The sequence below is a fragment of the Homo sapiens genome, chromosome 5 (genome assembly GCF_000001405.40).
Source record: "Homo sapiens chromosome 5, GRCh38.p14 Primary Assembly".
Taxonomy (NCBI): domain Eukaryota; kingdom Metazoa; phylum Chordata; class Mammalia; order Primates; family Hominidae; genus Homo; species Homo sapiens.
This window is the reverse complement of record NC_000005.10, coordinates 116944981-116954070: the sequence shown is the minus strand read 5'-3', so window position 1 is coordinate 116954070 and position 9090 is coordinate 116944981. Positions and strand designations below refer to the sequence as shown.

General features: G+C 37.2%; 1 long non-coding RNA gene across 1 annotated transcript in view, besides 1 other annotated feature; it reads left to right on the top strand.

The window, feature by feature from the left end:
* The first annotated feature begins 643 nt into the window (after nucleotides 1–643).
* Nucleotides 644–9090, top strand: part of LOC105379137 (uncharacterized) — a 32012-nt gene continuing 23565 nt past the window's right edge. The window contains exon 1 of the long non-coding RNA XR_948694.3: nucleotides 644–695. This is a non-coding gene — a long non-coding RNA (uncharacterized LOC105379137). The remainder of the gene's footprint in view (nucleotides 696–9090) is intronic.
* Nucleotides 7725–8414: an enhancer, noted in NCBI's record as "OCT4-NANOG-H3K27ac hESC enhancer chr5:116281353-116282042 (GRCh37/hg19 assembly coordinates)". NCBI's record gives its function as "activates a minimal SCP1, AML or CMV promoter by ChIP-STARR-seq in naive and primed H9 embryonic stem cells {active_cell/tissue: H9 hESC(naive and primed)}" and the evidence as "EXISTENCE:reporter gene assay evidence [ECO:0000049][PMID:30033119]".

Here is a 9090-nt window from a genome sequence, read left to right as displayed (position 1 = left end):
GAGGCAAAGGAAATCCATACATAAAACAAAAAATGTGAGCATGAGAATTTGTAGAAAAGACCAGGGGCTTGATTTAACACTGAAGGAAACAGCTTTCAGGATTAGGAGTTCTTCAGCTAAGAGCTGGTTTACTTTTAATTGAGCCACACACAAACGAAGAGGTAAAAAGGTGCCAAAAGCTAGAGTCAATATAAAATGAAAGAATAAAGTAAGTACTTTTATTGTTAAATAAATGGCCCCTAACTAGGCCATTTTTGAAAATTTCTGTTTCACTCATGTGATACAAATAATTGAAACAGCATCTGTGGTTTCTTCCCTAAGCTCCGGACTCTCCTTCTCTGTGTCCCCCTTCCTTCTTTATCCCTTTCCCTTTCCATCTGCCTTCTTGATGAATTTCATTGTTATGGCTATTTGCCTACCATCACCATTTCTTTATTATTGTACCTTGTTTGTACAAAAGGAGTCCTTGCTGTTATTTTATTTTCATTAATGCCTCCATCTTGAAATTTTCAAAAATGCAGTTTTAAACAGAGGATGCTCCCAGATTTGCCCTTGCACCATGACAGAGAACATTTCAGCCCTAGCCAGTGGTGTGCCCATGGAAACTGGGAGTCATTGTATCCTAGGAAACTATGGCAACCAACAGAGACAAACTGAAAACAGCCCATTGTCATCATTTTTAACGAGTCAAAGATGTGAGTATCCTCTACAATGAATTCAACTGTCATTTGCCAAAGAGAAGATGCAATTCAAATTGGCTCCAATAATTAGAACAGATAAGTATTTGAAAGCATACATATATGATTGATTTTATTCCTATTGTTCTTTAACAATAAACACTTATTAAGTGTGTTCCACAAATAACTAGGAAAATCAACAGATATAATCAGCTCTTATGAGCAACTTCTTCCACATTATTATTAAATACGTTGCACTATCCGATGTTCTAGCGATTTATCTGCGTACACAGATAAGTGGTTGTTATCACAGCACAAAGATGCTCAGAGATAATCCTGATTTCTTCTGTGGTTTTGTGCATCAAAAATTACTTGAATAATGAATTTAGATTCTTACTGTTTAGTGTTGGTTTATCCACTTTGGGCTCCCAATTATATTGAGAATCTTCTTCAGACTCTACTAAATAGTTTAGCTGTCTAATCAAACCAAGTTAATGAGAGGCCATATAGGTCATCCATGTAGATATAGCAACTATTATTTTGACAAATGAGTTTACAGCATGAAAGAAGAACTCCCACTGCATTGCAGTTTGTTTGAGTTCATTTATTTTGCATATCCTGTGTAGTTTAATTCCAAAACTTTTCTCCCCAAGGAAATCTGGGTCATATCTTTCATTTTTCCTTACAAAAATAGAGCTGGGTAAAATAATGTTTACAAGAACTCTTCATGCATGTGTGTGTGTGTGTGTGTATGTGTGTGTGAATGTGTGTGTGAGTGTGCATACACATGCATATGTATTTATTATTTTGAATTTAAACTTTTTTTACATGTCAAATGATATTTATTAAAATTTAGTTGCTCCCAGAAAACAAAGGTTAGAGAATAGAGTGGCATATTGGTGACGGTGATTTGCAATCTTAAAAGTGTACCCCCACAAGTAAAGTGCTACACAAAGAAAAGAAGCAAAAGATTCTAGACAAGAAACAACTATTATTTGCAGAACTCATGCATTTGCTAAACTCTGGTCTGTTCCTTGGTTAAAGCAGGAAACCAGAAAAGTGAAACATATATTCTAAGTATTTCAACTTAAATATGTAAAACAAAGTAATTCACAAATATTTCGTTAAAGCCTTTTGTTTGATAATGAGTCCACTGATTAGTTTCCTACCGTCTTCTTGGAGTAATGCATTATCTATAATCCCAAATTTTAGTTCTTTAAAAAAATTGAAAACTCAATATTCTGTGGAACAATGTAAGTATAAAATCTTTACAGATTTTTACATATTTAAATCTTTCACCATTTTCTTGCTGACATCTATTTTGACAGCATTATTTATTAGCAAATTACTTTTCCAAATATGTATTTCACAGATGATATTTCCTTAATTCTAAATGTATTCATCCATTTACATAATATGCAATTAAATCATATAATTCTTAAAACAGCCAACTGGAATTAACAAATTTGGGAAACAAGCAAAGTGATTACTGGTAAGTATAATCAGAATTATACAGACATACTAGGGAGTGGCCTGTTATCCATGAACATTCAGAGTAGCATGAGAAATACTGTGTATGTTTTAGAGAAGAAATTAAGGTACAGATTGGTTGTGTTGAGACTAGTGAAAAGAGTTACTACTGTATATACTCAATTGTGGGGTGGGTAGTAGCAGCTGTAGAGGTTATACCTTTTGTGGTATACAGGTTCCCCAAGAGGGTGTAGAGATTGGACCAGATTTAGGTCCAATAGGATAGATTTAGGAGAACGTCATAAACAGGACTGGAGTAACCTATACTCAAATCTATATTTTATTTAAGTGTAGATAAAAAGGTACAAAATAAAGTACTGGGCCCACTCAAAAATAGTAGAGACCAAGAGAGCAAAAATAACATTCTGAAAATTCAGAGGAAAAAGATGCCTTTGAAAAATGATCTCTAGTATGGAGAAGAAAGTTCCAGGAAATTGCATGCTCAGCATAATGCAAAAATAATCATAATAATAAAGCTGAGGAGGAACTTGTAAGAGATACAATAGATAAAAAAAAAAGAGCATAACTTACTAGGGAATTAATGGCTTAAAATAAAAACAATAAAATTCATTTTGGAGTCAACAAAGGGAAAGACTATGTGAAAAATCTAATGAGCGATAGAGAGGAAAATCTCAAGGAGGTTTCCCAAAATTCAGAAGAAAACAATGACGAAGTTTATAGATAGAAAAGAGAAACAAAATTAAACATAAACAATTTGGGTTCTCAAAGAACATAATGGAACAAGTGGAACAAAAAACAATACTGACATATATAATAGAAGAAATTTTTCCTAAGCTGACAAAAAGATTCATTTATGTAGAGAAAAGCTCATTATATCCTTTGGGGAAAAAACAAAACAAAAACATGTTAATATTGTTTTTGCCCTTTTTCATCTTTTCCTATTTTGTTTACAAGTTTAAGCTTTCTTCATACCCAAATCTCATCTATGAAGCCTTTATTTTTAAAATAGTTTTCCACCTCAGCCAAACTTAATTGCTCGTTCAGCCTCACTTCAGCCAAACTTAATTGCTCGTTCAGCTATCAGCATTTAAAAGTCTTTTCCTTAGCTTTAGAGCATAAGAAAGTTAAATTTTATAATTTCTCATTCGTTACTGTCAGTATATATGATGCTTTGTACTATTCAAACAGAGAATAAAGATTCTTTCCATTGATCTTGAGGTATTACAAAATACCTCAATAAATGCTCAGTAGTAAAAATAGATCATATTTCTTAATAAAAATAGTAAATGAATTTGAAAATTAGGACAAAACAAAACAGAAATCTCTCAAAACTATTATTTTAAATGATTGTTGACCCAAGAAGAAAATCAATGCTTTAATTACAATCAATTCAGAAACTTTATTTTTTATTTTTATTCATTTTTATTTTTTAAGACAGAGTTTCACTCTTGTTGCCCAGGCTGGAGTGCCACGGTGCCATCTTGGCTCACTGCAACCTCCTCCTCCCGGGTTCAAGCAATTCTCCCGCCTCACCCTCCTGAGTAGCTGGGACTACAGGTGCCTGCCACCACGCCCAGCTAATTTTTGTATTTTTAGTAAAGATGGGTTCTCACCATGTTGGCCAGGGTGGTCTTGAAATGACCTTGGGTGATCCACCCGCCTTGGCCTCTCAACATGTTGGGGTTACAGTTTCTAGGCCACCATGCCTGGCTTAGAAACTTTAATGTTATCCCTCAAAGCTAAATTTATAGGATATGGGTAAGCCTACACTGAGAAAAAATAAATAAATAAATAAATAAATAAATAAATAAATAAATAGCTTTAAATTAGTATGAAATTCAAGGCTTTTGAATAAAAGTTGTAAAATTAACCTAAAGAAGAGGAAGAGGAGAATGAATATGTTTAAAAACAGAATCCAGTGATGATCATTGGATTATTTTTTGAATCTTAACCATGTGACCAACACTATGCCAAAACGTTTATTTTATTTATTTATTTATTTATTTATTTATTTATTTATTTATTTCAGACAGAGTCTCGCTCTCTCGCACTGTCACCCAGGCTGGAGTGCAGTGGCACGATCTCGGCTCACTGCAAGCTCCGCCTCCTGGGTTCACGCCATTCTCCTGTCTCAGCCTCCTGAGTAGCTGGGACTACAGGTGCCCACCACCATGCCCGGCTAATTTTCTTTTTTTTTTTGTAGTTTTTAGTAGAGACGGGATTTCACCGTGTTAGCCAGGATGGTCTCGATCTCCTGACCTCATGATCCGCCCGCCTCGGCCTCCCAAAGTGCTGGGATTACAGGCATGAGCCACTGCGCCCAGCCCAAAATGTTTACTTTTATTGTCTCATCAAAACCTTAAGACAATCCTGTGAAGTCAATACTATTATCTTCAACTTAGCAGCTGAGAAAGTTGAGGTTCAGGAAAGCAACAGTAGAATAAACCTCAGAGCTGGATGTTTGCAAAATGCATACTGAAAAAGATAAACTCTGGAAAGATTTATCAGGTAGAATAAAAAATCAGAAATGAAATATAATCAGATTGTGCAACAGGATTATAGTCAATAATAATTCAACTGTACATTTCAAAATAACTAAAAGAGTATAATTGGATTGTTTGAAATACAAAGGATAAAGGCTTAGGGGATGGATACCTCATTTTTCATGATGGTATTATTACACTGTGCCTGTCTGTACCAAAATATCTCATGTGCCCCATAAATATATACCTCTACGATATATGCAAATAAACTAAAAATCAAAAAAATTTTAAACAAATATAACTAGAGAACTATAGATTTTAAAATCCTATAGAAAATATTTTATAAAATGTGAATATATTTTACTATATGTGAAAACCTTGATAATGTATATTTTAGAAAGTATAAATTATCATATTTAACCCAAGAAGAATTAGAATTCTAAATAGTCCTTCAAGAATTTGAAAATGCTGACAAAGAACTACTCTAATATTTAACATAATCCCAATAAAAATTTCAATGAGATCTCCTGGAGAACTTGAAAGATAATCCTGCTGATCACTTAGAAGAAAAAAAAAAAACAAGAATAACCCAGATCTTTTTTTCATTAAAGATGAATAATGAGAGAGAAATTATCCTACTGGTTAAAGTATATTATAAAACTATAGTAATTAAAACTTAGTGGCACTGTGGAAAAACAGTGGATTGGATCTATGGATTGGAGTGGAAAATCTATACATAGATCAAACATATATATATATATATACACACACACACACACACATACTTCCACTTCGACTGTAGAAAGCCATAAGTTAATATCACTCCAAACTTAACGATAAGAAAAAAACAGATGACCTACAAAATCATACCTTCTCTGGAGCTGAGCAATCTAGGCACTAAGTGAACTAAATTCCAAGGAGACGTAAACCCTCCCAAGCACAGACAAGGCATATAACTATTTCATCTTCGACAGAGCACGAGAAAAAGAAGTAGGCAGCATACAAGCAAGTAAGGAGAAATCAACTAAAATTTTAAGAAATTCATTAAGGCCAAGCATGGACTAGACTGTCAGTATAGAATAGCCGGGAACTCCAGACTCATAGAAGTGTGGGCTCCCTGGCTACCTTGCTTTCCCACAAGAAAGCCTGCAGGCAGAACAAAGGAGGCAGAAGAGAAATCTCCCACCTCTACTCCGCAAAGTTAGCCGGATGATGCAGCCTGCAGGAAGTGATCAACAGCTGCTGGGGAGAGAAAACACACTTCCTATTTCCCCAGACCCTTCTCTCCTATGAAGCAGATGCCGTATCTGCCAGCAGAGGGCAGCAAACTCTCCTGCCCCAGGGTCCAGGCATACACTCATTGCTTACCGGGAGGGATGCAGGTTAAGACAAGTCTATCGCCGGGGAGGAGGTGGGAAGCCATCTTTCCCACAGGATCTAGGGAAAGAGCCACTGTTACTAGGAAAGGGGTAGATGCAAAAGATTTCTGCTCCTGGGAGAGAAAACTCACATCTACCTTCCTTTCATTCTCACATGTACCTAACTCCAGCCCTTCTGTTCTCACCAAGCAAGTTTATACTCACCTTAGCACATTTTTAAAAATTGAGCTAATACTCGCATAACAACGAACGATTTTAAAGTATACAATTCAGTGGCATTTAGTACATTCGCAATGTCCTCAACAATCACCCTTACCTGTTTCGAAAACATTTTCATCACACCTGTAGAAAACTCGATACAAATTACGCAGTCATTCTCCACCACCACCCCAGCCCCTGGCAATGATTAATCTCCTTTCTGTCTCTATGGACTAATCTATTCCAGATAGTTCATATAAAAGGAATCACACAATATGTATGTGACTGGCTTCTTTTGTGACTGGCTTCTTTCACTTAACCTAATGTTTTCAAGGTTCATCCAAGTCATAGTTTCATGTGTGTCCGTGTGAAGAGACCACCAAACAGGTTTTGTGTGAGCAGCATGGCTGTTTATTTCACCTGGGTGCAGGTGGGCTGAGTCCGAAAAGAGTCAGCGAAGGGAGATGGATTATCATTAGTTCTTACAGGTTTTGGGATGGGCGGTGAAGTTAAGAGCAATGTTTTGTGGGCAGGGGTGGATCTCACAAAGTACATTCTCAAGGGTGGGGAGAATTACAAAGAACCTTCTTAAGGGTGGGAAGATTACAAACTACATTGATCAGTTAGGGTGGGGCAGGAACAAATCACAATGGTGGAATGTCATCAGTTCAGGCTATTTTTACTTCTTTTGTGGATCTTCAGTTACTTCAGGCCATCTGGATGTATACGTGCAAGTCACAGGGGATGAGATGGCTTGGCTTGGGCTCGGAGGCCTGACATTATCATGTATCAGTCCTTCATTTGTTTTTAAGGCTGAATAATATTCCATAGCATGGATATACCACATTTTGTTTATCCATTCAACTGCTGATGGACGTTAGGGTTGTTTCCACCTTCTGGCTATTGTGAATAGTGCTGCTATACCCACCTTCAAACATTTATGCCAGCTGTTCTCGATACCTGGAACTCCTTCCTGGAGAATCACTGCACATCTGGCTCCTTCTTGTCATTCAGGTCTCACTGTAAATGCTACCTCTTTGAATTGGTTTCACAATCACAGTTCCAGTGTAGCTCCCCAGGCACCGGCTGCCCCAGTTCTCAGCTTAGCACGTCTCCCAGTCTAAGATTCTTCTGCTGGTTTGCTTATTGGTTCTCCCACTAGAATTATATCCTCATGGAAGAAAGGAAATCTTCTGTCTTGTTTTATACTTTCCCTTCACCCCTTGAAGAGTTCCTGGTACATAATAGGTACTCAACAAATAACTGTTAAATTAACGAATACATTAGATAAACAAAATAAAACAATACACAATATTTTTTGCCTGTCAGCTTGACAGAAATTTACAAGAGCCCTGTTAATCAATAGAACTACAGTGGGGTCTCCAGAAAAGAGCCGTCCCATCCATCCCCTGCCATAGGGAAGATAACATGAAGCAAATTTTCTTGAGAGCAATTTGGCAGTAAATATCTGAAAGCTGAAAACTACCTATTCTTTGCACCAGTCATCTACTTCTGCATATTTACAGGAAAAAAAAAAAAAACTAGATCTCAAAGATGTAGACCAAAGGATATTTTCGCAACATTTTAAAAATAGCAAAAAGATGAGTCCCTGTGATATCCATTCATAAGAGACTAGTGGTACTACAGGGAATCAATACAAGGAACTGTCAGGCCTCTGAGCCCAAGCCAAGCCATCGCATCCCCGGTGACTTGCACGTATACGCCCAGATGGCCTGAAGTAACTAAGAATCACAAAAGAAGTGAAAATGCCCTGCCCCGCCTTAACTGATGACATTCCACCACAAAAGAACTGAAAATGGCCGGTCCTTGCCTTAACTGATGACATTCCACCACAAAAGAAATGAAAACGGCCTGTTCCTGCCTTAACTGATGACATTCCACCACAAAAGAAGTGAAAATGGCCGGTCCTTGCCTTAAGTGATGACATTACCTTGTGAAAGTCCTTTTCCTGGCTCATCGTGGCTCAAAAATCTCCCCCACTGAGCACCTTGCGACCCCCACTCTTGCCCGCCAGCGAACAAATCCCCTTTGACTGTAATTTTCCTTTATCTACCCAAATCCTGTAAAACAGCCCCACCCTTATCTCCCTTCGTTGACTCTCTTTTTGGACTCAGCCCGCCTGCACCCAGGTGATTAAAAGCTTTATTGCTCACACAAAGCCTGTTTGGTGGTCTCTTCACATGGACGCACATGAAAGGAACCGCATAGGGTCATTACAGGAGATAATATGAATATATGTTAGTATGAAAATATGTTCATAGACTTTTGCCAATTATAAAAGCTAGGTACAAAATGTATGTAAAGAAGGATTTAATTTTGGTAAGAAATGATATGTATGGTGACGTGAAAGGGAGAGCGAAAGAGAGGAGAATGATAATCATTATGATTGGGGGATATATGATTATAGCAAATGTTTTGCTTTTTTGACTAATAGTTTTTCTTCTTATATCCTCCAAAAGACACCTTTTAATTGTAATTATAGCAGGGCACAGTGGCTCACGCCTGTAATCCCGGCACTTTGGGAAGCCAAGGCGGGTGGATCACCTGAGGTCAGGAGTTCAAGACCAGCCTAGCCAACATGGCGAGACCCTGTCTCTATTAAAAATACAAAAATTAGTCAGGCACCGTGGTGGCGCACACCTGTAATTCCAGCGACTCGGGAGGCTGAGGCAGGAGAATCGCTTGAACCCAGGAGGCAGAGGTTGCAGTGAGCTGAGATCACACCACTGCACTCCAGCCTGGGCAAAAGAGTGAAACTCTATCTAAAAAAAAAAAATACTGTAATTATAAAAACAAATGATGTAAATAAATAAAAATAATCTCAGGTACATAATGCAATTA